Below are 15,320 nucleotides of genomic sequence, written 5' to 3'. Positions count from 1 at the left end.
GTGAGCCACTGCACCCAGCCCCCATTTCTTTTAAATCCACAGAAAATGCTGATAAGAAAGATTTTGTGAAAATAATTCTTAGTACTACAGATTGGATATGTAAGAACCAGAAGGTTAAATATAGTAAAGTAAAATTGAAGATAGAATAAAATTAGTATTGCTTTTATCATATAAATGAATATTCAGAGAAAATTATACAATACTCTGATAAGGAATTTTCATATGTATTAGGAAAGAGAGTTTGTAGAAAAATTTAATGAAATGTTATGTTTGTTCTTTTGTTATTTTAGATATTCAGGAACCAACACTGGGAATGTGCATATTATTGCTGATTTATATGCAGAGGTGATAGGGGTTCTTGCCCAATCAAAGTAAGTTTTGTAAATCACCCATTTAGATTTTCTTTGCATTTTAGAATGCTTCATTACCAATGAATACAATAGATACTGATAGTTCGAAATCCACCATTTTCCATAGCACTAAGTCAGCTCCACCTTTTATTACTTTACTGCTCTGTTTCTCAGAAGCTCTTTAACACTCATACCTCAATTTCACCACTTGTTTTAATTTTATTTGGGGTTTTCTATAAATGTCTGAATCGAACAAATCAGAAATTGCCAACCATATTTAGGACACTATCTTTTTCCCTATTTTTAACAATTCTGTTAGAATCTTTTTAAAGAACTCTTTACAGAGCTAATAATTATTTTCCAAGTGAGAACTTTTATTCCTCAGCAATGCAGTGTTTTCTAATCATATTTGTTTTAATGCTAAACAGAGTTTGAATTGGTAAGAGACACCAAAAAGGAAAGATGAAAGATACTAGATTACTCAATTAAAACTGTTAATTCATTAAGAGTTATACACATTGAGTTGCACTGAACCATCACTTTAGTAAACAGCAAAATATATTTGTTATTAGCAACTTGTGGTTACTGTAACAATTATGGAAGATTTTGGATTTCCTTTGTTACTACTGGGAAATTTATAAGGAAAAAAGTATCAAATTATATTTTCTTAGATGTGTTTGAAAGAGTCTTTGGCCCTGAAATCATCATATAACAAACAACCTTTCTAAATTCTAAGAAGGCAAGTACAATTATTGTTAATGTTTAAGTAGTTTGCATTTTAATATTAAGTGAAATATTTTATTTAGCATATTTTTAAAATTTTTAATATACTAGGAACCCTTGTATAGCAAATGCTATGGAACTTAGAACATGGTTTGAGTATTTTAAATGATTTAGATATAGATGATAATTTTTTAATACCTTATGGTTTGAGTATTTTAAATGATTTAGACATCAACAATAATATCTTAATATCTCGCATGGAATTAAATTGACACAAAAACATAGATATGAGCAGTGATGTATTTCTCTTTATGACAGTTTGTTTATGTTATTTTTATTTTTGTCAAAACTGAGTTTCTGTCTCAGGAATATAGACCAGAAATTCTAAATAATATATTAGCAAGTTGGATCCAGGAGAACACTCCATCATGGCTACGTTAACTCTAGATGGCAAGGATAGTAAGTCCAAACAGCCAGTAAATGTATGAAATGGTACTCAGCCTCACCTGCTAGTTGTAGGAGAAATGCCACTTTAGAGCAATACTAAGATGTTTTCTGCTCATGCATGTAATAAACATGGGAGAAAACGTGAAAGGATCCACTTTGAGTTAGGCTGATAGCACCTAAGGGGGCAGGTGGTGGGGTTGAGTGGGAGTGGGGAAGAGAAGGAGATAAAGGCTGGAGGTATATTTGAATCTTGGTGTATGTATTTTCTTGGTTTGTAGTGACTAATAATTTTTGTAAGTAGCTTAACAAAAGGAAAAAATCCTTGGATTCTAATATTTCAATGGAAAGACTTTATCCATTTTACAAAAATTTTCTTAATGAAGTGCTAAAGAATATAGTCATGAAAAATGGTATCATATTCTCCAAGATTAAAATAAAAAAAGATGTTATATTTCAGTCATGTATCCATATTTTGTTAATTTTTTTTTGTTCTTCTCACTGTAGTCAGTGACCACTGGAAAGCATGTTTTGAGGTTATTTTAACTTTAAGGAACTGGCTTCCCCAAGTAACATTATCAGTAAAGTCTTTAGTTGTTTCATAATATATAGGGGGGAAGGGGATAATTAAGTATAATTGATTAATAAACTATTAGATGTCCTTTTCAAATGTAAGTGAAGAAAAGCTTACTAGCTTTAACAATTGTGATTTGAATCCAGGATGATGCTCACATTTCAAAAGCCTTTTGGCAGTGTAATGATGTATTGATTTTAAGTGATAATTAGTACTGTATGATTGATTGGCTTATCTCTGTGAACAAATTTATAGTCTCCAATATGCTCTCCATATAACTAATTGCAGACTTTATATAAAAAGAGCCTTAAAAGTTGGAGACACTGATTTACATGGTGGCGTTTTGTGGGTTGGTTATTTGATATTATTCTATTATGGTTATTAATTAAATGGTAATGGTGGTGTCTTGATAATATTATAGGAATAAAGAAATCCTATTATTTCTCCTTCAGAAACTTTTAATTTAATTTTAAAAGAAATGAACAGCAAATTTAGAGTAGCAATTTTTATTTTCCTCTGTGTGCCTTTCTGGCAATTGTAATGAAGGTAGAGAAAGGAGATGATATTTAGGTAGCATACCTTTTGATTTTTACCCTTAAATATCATGTGGAAATTAGTGTTTTTAATTCAAATCAAATGATGTCTCCACGTATATTAAAGGTTTCAGGCTGTAAGGAAGAAGTTTGTGACAGAATTAAAAGAACTGCGACAAAAGGAACAAAGCCCACATGTGGTACAAAGTGTCATCAGCTTAATAATGGGAATGAAATTTTTTCGAGTAAAAATGTATCCTGTAGAAGATTTTGAAGCATCATTTCAATTTATGCAGGTGATATACCTTCTAAATGACAGTAAATAGAGCAAGCCTAACAGTCCTTGCTCTTCATGACTTTTTAAAAGAAACAAAATACACGTAAATTAATGGCATCATTTTTAGTCTCTTATTCCATGTGTTAAGTTGTTCTAAGTGTAAATTAATTTTTTTTTTTTCCTTGAGACAGAGTCTCACTCTGTCACCCAGGCTGGAGTGCAGTGGCATGATCTCGGCTCACTGCAACCTCCACCTTCCTGATTGAAGCGATTCTCCTGCCTCAGGCACCCGAGTAGTTGGGATTACAGGCGCCTGCCACCAGGCCCGGCTAATTTTTTTTTTTTTTTTTTTTTTTTTTCTTTAGTAGAGACGGGATTTCACCATGTTGGCCAGGCTGGTCTCCAACTCCTCACCTCAGGTGATCTGCCCGCCTCAGCCTCCCAAAGTGGTGGGATTACAGGTGTGAGCCACCGCACCCAGCCAGCTTTGTTTTTTGACTTGAAGATGCATTGACCTTAGTTTTTTGGTAAAATGACAGAGTGTTCACAAAATGATGTGATATTACAAATTCTTTAACCTTTCCTCTTTTGTTAATCTAAGTATATACCTCTTTCCCTTTAAGGAATGTGCTCAGTATTTCTTAGAAGTGAAAGATAAAGATATAAAACATGCACTTGCTGGTTTATTTGTGGAGATTCTTATCCCTGTAGCTGCTGTAAGTATTTTTCTTATTTTCATACCATTTGTGTGTTATACAAGAACCTTATCAACCTTATACTTTTATTTTTTGTCCTAAAAATACTTACATGACAATAAGCTGTGGCCATGGGAAGGCTCGTCTCATTTGCTCCCTGTTGCTCAGAGGTCTCTTCCTTTTGTTGATCATACAATGTTTTAGAGATCGTTTCATGTATTTTGTTTTTTGGTTGTTGCAGATGGTAGGGGAAATCCAGCTCCATCTTGGCTAGAAATGGAGATTAATTACATTCTTTTTGTTCAGATTTTATTCTAATTAAAATCTCAAAAATGAAGAAATGTATTACATGTTGAAAAATTGAACTGTTTTGGCTTTCATTTTTAAACATTGAATTCACTTACTTGTGACCTATGGGCTTATATGAATTGGTTTGTAGTATTCAGGTCCTACCTTTAGAGCATGTTTTGAAAAGGTGAACAGAGAATTGTTTTAAAAGTTAAGAATTTGAAATATTAATGAGAGTGATTGACGTGTTTTTTAAAACCTGTTTTGCATTGAAGATTTTTAAAAATGGGGACACACAAAACTCATAAATTAAAGGTTTGCAAGTGGTTTATTTGAGTTACACAGCCCCCGTTTCCTCCCACCCAGTTTTTAGCCATATGAATTGGGCTCATTTTATAAAAAAGAAAACAGGCTATCATGTATAAGTCATGTCAGTTTTAGTCTTTTATTAGATATGCACTTTGATTTCTTTTCCTGTAAGTTGTTTGAATTACTGTTTATCCCTTCCAAATGATCATTTGTACTTCACCCTTTGTTTGATCATCCTTTTTTTTTCTCCCAGATGGCTGAGATTAGGTTTTAGTTTTTAAGGCAGTTCGTCAAAAGGAGCAGGTTGTAGGAAGAGAGGCACTTGACAATGGTCCATTATCATCGTGTTGCCTGATTCTTTTATACCATATTTGCTTTTGTGTCCAGGTTTATTAGCCTGCTAGGACAGCCGTAATAAAGTACTGCAAACTGGATAGCTTAACAACAGAAATGTATATTGTCTCATATTTACGGAGGCTAGAGTGTGAGATCAAAGTGCCAGCAGGTTGGTTCCTTCTAAGAGCTGTGAGGAGGAACCTGCTCCATGCCCCTTGCTTAGCCTCTTGTGTGCACTGAAAATCTTTTGTGTTTCTTGGCTTGTAGAAGCATGGTTCTGAATCCTGCCTTCATTGTCACATGGCATTCTCCTTGAGTGTATGTCTGTGTCCAAATTTCCCCTTTTTAAAAGGACACCAGTCATGTGGATTAGGGTCTTCCCGATCCTAACTTAATTAATGTGATCTGCAATGACCTATTTCCTAATGAAGTCACCTTCTGATGTCTGTGGGGTTAGGACTTCAACATGAATTTTGGGGGGATATGATTCAACCCATAATACTAGGCCTTTGCACATGCAGCTCCTTCTGCCTGGAACATTCATGCCTCTCTAGTAACCTCCCTCCCCTCTTTCTCTGGCTGGCTTCTCTTTCTTTACTCATTTACTTATTGAGTGCTTTCTGTTTGTCAGGTCTTCCTCTATGCACAAGGGAACACAACAATGAGTATGATAGGAAAGACTCCCTAGTACCGTAGATTTTAATTGCTAGTGCAGAAAATAGAAAATAAACTAGTGTATAAAATAGGTAGTATGTCAGATTGTGGAGAGTAATGTGAAGAAATGTAAACAGGGTAGGGGGCATAGGATTGCCAAAGGGGTGAGGGAGTTGAAATTTTAAAAAGAGTATGATTAGGGAAGACCACCACATCGAAAGAGTTGGTAGCAATTGAGCAAAATCTAAAGGAATGAGACAGTAAGACTTCCTGTGTCTGTGGGAAGAGCTTCTTGGGCAGCAGGCCCCAGCGTAGACATCCTAAGGCAAGAAATTCTTTGATGCGTTCTAGGAACAGCAAGGAAGCTCCAAAGGCTGGGTCCCCATGCACATGGTCAGAGGGTGGGAGATAAGGCCAGCAAGGTTAAATGGGAGGCTTTAGCACTATTTCTGTTAAGAGATGTTGGATGCAGCTTAGATGTTACTTCCTTGTTGAGTTTTTCCATAGGGGCCCCTTTTGAGTGCTCCAAGAGCACAGAGAATTTGCTCTCAGTGGACCTGTTATACTGTGTCCTCTTAGCCTGTATTCCCACTTTGTTCACTCAGGGCTGGGACTAGGTTTATCTTATGTACTTAACATTTGGTCACTTGGCACATTGTAGTACTTCAGTGAGAGTCTCAGTGAATTATTAACCAATTTCAAACCTTACAGAAAGTTCTTGTATTCTTTGTATAGTTTAATCTAACATCTGTATCATTTTCTTTGTTTGCATTATCTTTTTACTAGGCTGTTAAAAATGAAGTGAATGTTCCCTGTTTGAAAAATTTTGTGGAGATGCTTTATCAGACTACTTTTGAACTGAGCTCGAGAAAGAAGCATTCATTGGTATTAAGAAACATTTCAAACCTTTTCATATTTAATTGGGATTTTTAGTAATTGATTTATGAATTCAGTGGAAATTTAAGAGAATGGTAAAATCTGAAATTGTAAAATCCCTGAAGTGCAATACAAGGGCAAGTTTTACATACGTATGTTTTGCGTGGCTCTATTTAAATGTTCTGTTCTTAATTTTACTAGCTCTGCATTTGTTGAGTTGTTCAGACTTCCTTCTAGGTAGTCATGCATTGCTTAATGATGGAAATATGTTCTAAGAAATGTGTCGTTAGGCTATTTCATTGTGCAAACATCATTGAATGTACTTACACAAACCTAAATAGTATAGCCTACTACACACCTAGGCTATATGGTATAGCTTATTGCTCCCAGACTACAAACCTGTACAGCATGTTACTGTACTGTGGGCAGTTGTAACAGAATAATATTTGTGTATCTAAACACGAGAAGGTACAGTAAAAATATGTTGTAACCTCAGGGGATCACTGTCATAAAGTGATTTTAGCAGCTGTTTTCTGTCTAATTACGTCTTTTCTAGTCAGAGATTGAAGGCATTTTTTTCTACCTGTCTATTTCACATAACTTTTACGTAGCTTGGAGAAAGTTTGGAGAATTGGTGAAATATTTGACCTTCTAAACTAGAGATACAGTAATTCTAAACATGGATTGTGCCAGGCATTGAACTAAGTACTTTGTACTTTTTTTTTTCTTACTTTAAGCTTCACAACCCTATAAGATATTTGTGATTATTGTCCTCTACTTTATGTGTTTGGAAAGTGAGGCTTAGAGTACCTAATGTAGCCATCGTGAAGTTACACATTTGACAAACAGAAAGCTAACATTTTAATGCCATCTGTCATCTGATCCCAGGGACTAGTCATAACCACAAAATGGATGAGAGGCTAATGGGTTGAGGGAGAACTAATAGCATATTCTAACTCAGAGAGGTATGATCAGTCAAGGAATTTTCCTCGTAGAAAATTTACTCTTTATCTTTCTGTGTTAGATTATTCTATGAGATTATATTTCTTATTACGAATTGGAAAACTGCTTAAAAGATTTGTTTCCTTGCTTATGAGAATAAATGAAATATAAAATTTAAAAGTCCAGTGCTTTTCGATGAAAAATGTTAATTCTGTCTTTTCCCCGTCTCCTATAGGCTTTATATCCACTAATTACCTGCCTTTTATGTGTCAGTCAGAAACAATTTTTTTTAAATAACTGGCATATTTTCCTACAGAACTGTTTGTCACATTTAAAGGTAAGATGTAATCACACTTCTGATATGTAAATACTGACTGGTATATTTTGTTTATGCATATAAATTGAACAGTGCATAATGAAACTTTTGTTACTATTGGTATACTTGAATAGCAACACTTTGCCACATTCCTTTTCTTATACCTACTGTATTTCTTCTATAGGGAATCATGTATAGATATGAGTAAACTTTTGATTGAAAATTTAGTTTGTCCTAATGAATGCAAGATTATTGTACATTTTTAGTGATATTTATATTATCTTAAATCTAGGAATATTTGTTAATTCTTTTAGAATTATAGAGTATTAATCTCACAAAACCTTCTAGATACTTATTTTGTCTTTTGAGAAAATCAGTAATGTTGGTTTAAGTCTGAACAATATGAGAAAAAGCTTTGATAATATCACTAAAATCACATTTAAGTATGCCCGGCCATATCTAAAAGTTGGTACTGGATCTGCACAGATGTAAAAGCTCCTGAAATGATTCTGACTTGAATGAAAGGGTACTTGTCATTAACACTATTTGGCACATCCATATTCAGCCTCTCTTAGTCCTGAAAACAAAACTGTGAGAGATAGAAGGATCATTTTCTTCCCAGGATGCTCTGCTAGCAGGATCCTCTTTTCTTCTTTGGGTAGGAACACAATTCTGACAGTGTGGGAATATTCTTCAGCTGCATGTCATGCGAATGCTTGATTTGAATATTCTTTTGATATATACTTAGATGAGCCTATTTGAATATTTGCTTGCAAGTTATAGAAATATTGCAGACATGACATTCCATTTCCTGGTATTCCTCTAAGTTAGACTTGAGACTGAAAACCTTATACTTTGAAGATAATGGAACCGAGGCAGATAGAGAAAGTGACTTGTCTCTGGGTATGCAGCTCGTTGTGCTATTGTAGGAATAGGACTGGATCTTCTTTCATATTTCAGGAATGATCCACTGGATGTTATCCTGTACGTCTTTTTCATGATTTTATGTATAATTTTCAAAACTGCCTCAGTTTCTTAGGTATACGGAATATATACTACTTTGAGAAATGTTTTTGTCTATTTTCCTTCTAGATAAACGTTGATATTACTCATGTTTGGATGAGAATTTATATGCCTTATTTGACTATTTATGAAAATTCCCAGGACCAAATCAAACTGATTGAACTCTTTATGTCATGCAACCAGGAAATAAATTTTATTTAATTAATTACATTATACTTATTTCTGTTCTTATTTTTGGTAATTTGTACAGATATAGGGACCAAAAGAGAATTGATCATTTTTCTGGATAGTATGATTTTTCATACGTTCATTAAAATATTTTTAAGATATGCATTTAAATGTTTCTGGAAGGCTGCTTTGTTTCATGACAGTTCATACTTTTCTGTTGCTTGTTGGAATTTTTATATATATACGTTTCACCTAACATATTTGCAATACTTCGCAGTACCTTAACTTTTTTTTGTCTTAAGGCTTTCATTTAAATGCTCTGTTTTCTTTGAACCCTTACCTCCTGTTAAATATTTCTGGCATATTGTTCATTTTCATTAATGGCTATGTCAATCTGCCAGGCTAAAGGAGATAAGAGCCACTTAGCATGAGTATTTGGAATATAATTGTCTTGGCCATTAACCCTTAACTTACATTAAGGCTCTATTCAGCAGAAATTTTATGAATTGGCTCCTATTTATTAAGTCTTAGATAATGTGGCTGCTCTGCATAGTTGAGGTAAGGAGTTGAGCCTTGAAGGAAAAACTATGCTAGTTATCTGTTGTAACAGTTATTTATTTTATGTATAGGGAAAATTGATCCAAGATAAAGGCCTTACCTAAACTATTTTGAGATCCATTTAATCTCTTGATACTAAAAACCTAAACAATTTCCTTTTATTAGACCTATACCTTTTTTTTTTTGAGATGAAGTCTCGCTCTGTCACCCAGGCTGGAGTGCAGTGGAATGATCTCGGCTCACTGCAGGCTTCACCTCCCGGACTCAAGCGATTCTCCTGCCTCACCCTACTGAGTAGCTGGGATTACAGGCATCTGCCACCACCGCCGGCTGATTTTTTATTTTTAGTACAGACGGGGTTTCACCATATTGGCCAGGCTGGTCTCAAACTCCTGACCTCAAGTTATTCACCCGCCTCAGCCTCCCAAAGTGCTGGAATTACAGGTGTGAACCACTGCTCCCAGCCTAGACCCATACTTCTTATGACTGGTTTTTATTACTTTTTATTGGATGCTACATCCTCTAAGTACAGAATCTCATTTGATTTTTACTGTACATGAGGCTGAAAGAAGATAAACAAGTAACCCGTGTTTCGGGAGCCAGCATGGATTTGTGTCCATATTCACATAGTTCCATAGCTCTTGCTCTTCTAGTCCACCATTTTACTTCTGAAGGTAGTATAAGGAATGTTGTTGGATATAAGCACTGAATATTTTAAGAAAACATGTTAGCAATAATTTGAGGATATTAAAAAGGCATTACTCTCTAGTCATAAGAATAAATATGATGAATTTCAAGGCACTTTATGATATTGCACAGTTTTAAAAAATTACCATACTAGTTTTTAAAGTTGATGACCATGAAAAATGAGCTTTATCTCTATATGCCCATAAATAGCTTGTGACAGTGTCACGTTATTTTCACTGAAAAGTTAAATCTTTAATTTTTGTCCCAAACAGAATTTGGTATTCTCCCATTCCTATATCTATATCAATTTAGGTGCTTGTGTGAAAAGTGATTTTAAAGTTTCTGGAGAATTATTAAGAGAGATAGGTGAATAATAAGAGTAGTTATCATAGAAAATAATTTGGAGATTTTTTTCAACAATCTATACTTACATTCATTTAAAAATTTAAAGTTGAACTGAAATACAGTGCTTTAAGAAGAATTCTAAGAAAAATTAGGTAGTTAAAACTTTGTTTTCTCTCAGTTGGAATATTATAGGTGTATCTTACATGATGCCCAAATCGTGAGATTTTTTTTTTTTCTTAGTGTTTCTGGCCACTGTCTTGGACATTTCAAATTTCTTCTAAATAGAGACCTTGGTGAAGAGCTGTCTTGTTTTGTGCTTATTTTCATCTAACATGCATGTGCTGCATCTCATGTTTATGTTTGCTGTCTCACATTGCTTTATTTAGATGCCATCTAACAACAGTATCAGAAAACAAATAGAAACACTCCAGGTGAGTTGTGTCGACATTACAAAGTAAAATACTGCTTTATTTCCTTTAAGCGTGGCATTTGTTTTTCCTTTTCCCATTGTTGCATTGCATGTCTAATGTATTTATTCCAACCTGCTTCTAGTATTTTAAGAGAAGAGTAGCACACAGCAGAAACATTCTTCAGAAGGTTTAATATCAGTGTGGCCCCAAGAAGATGAATTTAAGAAATAGAACTGACACTGAATGCTGATTCTTCACCAAAAGTCACAATTTTAAAATATTCTGTTTAACATACATTATCTAGCTGTTATAAATGAAAATGTTTTAAAAATTTCCAGTGAAATTAAGGAGACAGTAGCTTAGATTTTGAATATAGTTTGTTGTTGTTGTTGCTGTTATTTTTAATTTTTGTGGGTACATAGTAGATGTATATATTTATGGGATACATGAGATGTTTTGATACAGGCATGCACTGTGAAGTAAGCACACCATGGAGAATGGGTATTCATCCCCTCAAGCATTTATCCTTTGAGTTACAAAGAATCCAAGTCTACTCTTTAAGTTAATGGAATACAGTACTGACAAATTAATTTTTAAAAGTTTATCCTATTGATTTGGGTTTGTTTTTTGTTTTTTGTTTTAATTTTTTCAGAGAGAGGGTCTGACTAGCCCAGGCTAGACTCCAACTCCTGAGTTCAAGCTGAGACTACAGGCATGCACCACCATGCCTGGCTTTACTGATTTTGGTTTTAAACAAATCATTTTTTTAGTTCACAGTAGAAAAAAAGAGAAGAAACATTAAAATGATTGTTGCCAAAGACTATATTTGACTGACATACCAAAATTTTGTTTTATATTAAGTTCATTAGATTTTTATTTGTGTAATTGTTCAAATTAGATTGAATATCTTTGTTTAAAGCTCAGATAAATTTAGGATGATTTTATTATTCAGACATATAGCAGCATTGTAGCAGCTGAAAAAATAATAATTGATTTTTGTCACTTCTCACCTTGCCTTTTTGGTCATTGCGTGAATGCCAGCTTTGTTTGAAAATCAAGTTTTTTCATGCCAGATACCTCATCACTTAAGATAATCCAAATACTTTTATATTTAATCATTCATATGAGAACAGTTTTTATGTAGAATAGGACTTAAATATCTTTAATGTATAATTTTTAATAATATTTTGAAAATACAATTTAACAATATGAAAGTGTTATTTCATGTGTACCTAAAAACTAATGGGACTTATTTAAGACTTTATTTTTTTTAGAGCAGTTTTAGGTTCACAGTAAAATTGAGAGGAGGGTACCGAGATTTCCTGTGGGTAAATTTCCCTACCCACACTCATACCTAGCTTCCCCCGTAATCAGCATCCCCCTTCAGAGTGATACATTTGTTAAAACTGGTAAACATACATTGACACATCTTTATCACACAAAGCCCACAGCTTACATTAGAGTTTACTCTTGGTGTGTTGTACATTCTATGGGTTTGGACAAATGTATAATGACATGTATCTACCATTATAGTATCATGCAGAGTATTTTCACTGCCCTAAAAATCCTTCATGCTTTGCCTATTCATTTCTCTCTACCTCCCTAACTCCTGGCTGAACTATTTTGACATCTGATATCTTATATTTAAATGATAGAAAAGAAAATTATGTTTTCTCAAAGACATTACTACAAAATGCTTGGTTGTTATATTTGTAGTATACATTATATGTTACTTTAGTTACATTACTAACAAACATAATTGGAAATTGCTGGGGGAGTATATTTGAAATTTGGGATCATTATGGATCTGGCAGTGGAGACAGGGATTGATACTGCGAGTCTAATGAGCACAGTAACTGATCCTCCATTTTTAATTATATCAAATCTTTATCCAAATAGATGTGCAAAAATCTAAAATGTAAATTCACAACAATCAGTACATCCTAAAACTAATCAACGGATGTATAAAGAGTTTCTCCGTAAAAAAAAAAAAAGGAGATTATTAGCTACATTTCAAAATTATTGGTCATTTGAGAACTTTATTTTTTATAACAGCTAGAATGAAGAAAAAGTTTGCTGATCAAATTGTAATTGAAATGGAATAACTGATTCTAAATAATAATAATTTAAATAATGTCCTTATTCTAAATAAAAATTATAACACTTAATAGTCAATGAACGTTTAATACATGCCAGGTACTGTTCCAAGTGCTTTACAGATATTAACTTTACCTCTGAGGTAGGTACCATATGTTCTCCATTTTAGAGATGAGGAAATTGTGACTCAGAATCATATAACAATGCCCAAGGATGGAGCTTGGATTTAGTCCCTGTTTTTCCCAGTTTTAGAGTCCACGCTCTTAACTCCCTATTCACTCGTAAGGATATACACTTCATAATATTTTGCATTATTTCGTAAATGCAAATGACTGTAATACCATTTGGTGTTCTGAATTTTAACTATATATGGGCTACAAATGAATTCTGCCAAAAATGAGTGATCCTTTTTCAGTCATTATGTCAGTATTGGAGTGTGAACTGTTCATCATCAAGTAAGTTTGTTTGTATAATTTTAGAATTCTTAGAAATACTAGTATAATTTTATTTAATAAGTAAAATTTAGTAAATAAAATTTTAGCATTTTGAAAGTGTAAGAAAGGGCTCAATTTCCAAATTTATGGTTACTTTTGAGCCATATATTTACCCTATACCAAATATGTACCTGGTATTTAAACCTATTTTAGACTGAATACAAAAAAGATTGGCTTTTAGTTGTTGACAGAGAATATGTTTGCTGTTAAGTGATTGCAAGTATTATAATAAGTTTATTCTCTTTTGTTTTAAAACAGAATAAAGATCCGAAAATGTCTCGAGTTGCACTGGAATCTTTGTATAGATTATTGTGGGTTTATGTAATTAGAATAAAATGTGAAAGCAACACTGTAACTCAAAGGTGAGTATCTTTGCTTTAAAGTGCATTAAAAATAAATTCTTGTTTTTAAAAAAACACACTATTGGGAATTTTAGTAAACATTATACTTTGTGGGTGGAATATGAATTCTGTCAATATATTATGAAGAATAGGAAGAATTTTTTGCTAATATGCTGTTGATGTTATGATCTCACTATGACTAGATCTTTTTCCCTGTAGTCGTCTTATGAGCATAGTGTCAGCACTTTTTCCAAAAGGCTCACGAAGTGTGGTTCCTCGTGACACACCTCTCAATATATTTGTGAAGATTATTCAGTTCATTGCTCAGGTGAGTGCTTCATCTCATAGTATGTATGTATATAAATTGTTAGAGTAATCTATTGTAATCACTTGGAGCTTTGAAATTTTTTATGCATCTAAAAACATAGTAATACAACATTGAATAAGTTTATTTCATTAATCTACACACTTGGAAAGAAAACCCACAGGTGGCAGCACTTTGAATTGAAGAGGGATAAACAACATATCTCATAATCCTAATGTTAGTGCATTTACTAATTACCTTCTGAGTATCTTCAAGGATTTCTTAGAAAATTATTTTCATAGTCTACATTAATCTAGATTCTTAGGTACTGATAATAGATTCCACTGTAGCTAGTTAAACCCAAAGGGACCTCGAAAGGAATATAGATAGCTCAGAGAATTTATAGTAGGGCTGAAGAAATGAATTCTAGTCTGAACGACAAAGAGGAAACTGCTACCTTGGCCAAAATAAAACAGCCACCAGACAAGGAAGTCACCACATGTGGGTATGCTTCAGAATCATGCTGCATCTGCTACGGTCCTCACCAGTAAAATAGATTCATTTCTCCCTGTCTTCCTCCTCCTCTTTACATATCCCAGTTCCCAAAGAGACTCACATGAGTGTATCACTTGGCAGGGTTTAAATTATATCCTCAAGCTTTTTGTTAAATGGGATCCTGGGAAGTACAAGTTTAGCTTTCTAGCCTCTGCAGTAAAGGAAGGATTATTAGAGGGGGATTAAATGGGTGTTAATGAGCCAATACAAGGTTTTGGTCACATTTCCTTTTGGGACATCCATCTTGGAGAAACATAGGTAAGGTTATCTCGTCAACATGGGAAAATGCTGTGATTCCAGAATATTGATTGCATTCTCTTTCAACTGAAACTGTAACAATCTAGATGATCCATAATTCAATTATTTTTGACAGTGAAGAAATAAAGAATATTTAAATAGAATTAGTACATTGTTATTTACTAGAGTACAAAAGTAATGGTAATTCGATAAGTATAAGGGTATCAGTAAGATTAATAAAAGCAAATTGTGCTTTAGATCAAGTGTTCAAAAAACTTGTGACATTAGGTTGAATCTCTTCTTTTTTTCCAGAATTGTACCCACTCCCTTGAATTAGTTACCTTCCTCCAGCACTCCACCAGAATTATAAAACTCCTTTCAAACAGCAGTTAATCTAATTAGTTAACTTCCCCCCACCCCCCGGGAGATTTCCTTCCTAGAGCCCCATTCTTCCTGACCCAGTATGAACTCACTGCTGTCTAGGCCTGCTGCCTGGCTATTGTCTTGGGACTTCCTTTCATTGTCACCCTGGGAATTCTTTCACTTTGATTTTAATATGATTTTGGTGAATGAATGTTTAAAACTTTATTCTGTTGGTTTGGGTATTAAACAAATCATTTGATAATTAAATAATATACTTATAATCATGTATTTTGACCTTAATTCATATGTATTTTTCTTCTGTTCAGCTGTGAACTTTTTAAGGGCACAAACCTGTCTTGTTGTCATTGTATATTATATTTATAATTCTTAGCATGATACCTAACACATAGTAGCAAGTTAT

General features: G+C 33.6%; 1 protein-coding gene across 17 annotated transcripts in view; it reads left to right on the top strand.

The window, feature by feature from the left end:
- The window catches only part of FRYL (FRY like transcription coactivator), a 282,923-nt gene that overhangs the window by 170,922 nt on the left and 96,681 nt on the right, over window positions 1–15,320 (top strand). For 11 of the 17 annotated variants that reach the window (XR_007096393.1, XM_024453991.2, XM_011513683.4 and 8 more), the window contains 8 exons: window positions 291–371; window positions 2,752–2,920; window positions 3,525–3,617; window positions 5,970–6,068; window positions 7,237–7,338; window positions 10,485–10,529; window positions 13,358–13,461; window positions 13,660–13,768. Coding sequence is in view for 16 of the 17 variants with exons in the window: in XM_024453991.2 (XP_024309759.1) it covers window positions 291–371; window positions 2,752–2,920; window positions 3,525–3,617; window positions 5,970–6,068; window positions 7,237–7,338; window positions 10,485–10,529; window positions 13,358–13,461; window positions 13,660–13,768 (802 nt within the window). In the remaining variant the exon portion in view is untranslated. The remainder of the gene's footprint in view (window positions 1–290; window positions 372–2,751; window positions 2,921–3,524; window positions 3,618–5,969; window positions 6,069–7,236; window positions 7,339–10,484; window positions 10,530–13,357; window positions 13,462–13,659; window positions 13,769–15,320) is intronic. The other 6 variants (XM_024453993.2, NM_015030.2, XM_047450098.1 and 3 more) reach the window with 1 other exon arrangement.

This window comes from Homo sapiens, chromosome 4 (assembly GCF_000001405.40).
Source record: "Homo sapiens chromosome 4, GRCh38.p14 Primary Assembly".
NCBI lineage: Eukaryota > Metazoa > Chordata > Mammalia > Primates > Hominidae > Homo > Homo sapiens.
The sequence above is the reverse complement of the archived record's forward strand: the minus strand, read 5'-3'. Positions and strand labels throughout refer to the sequence as shown.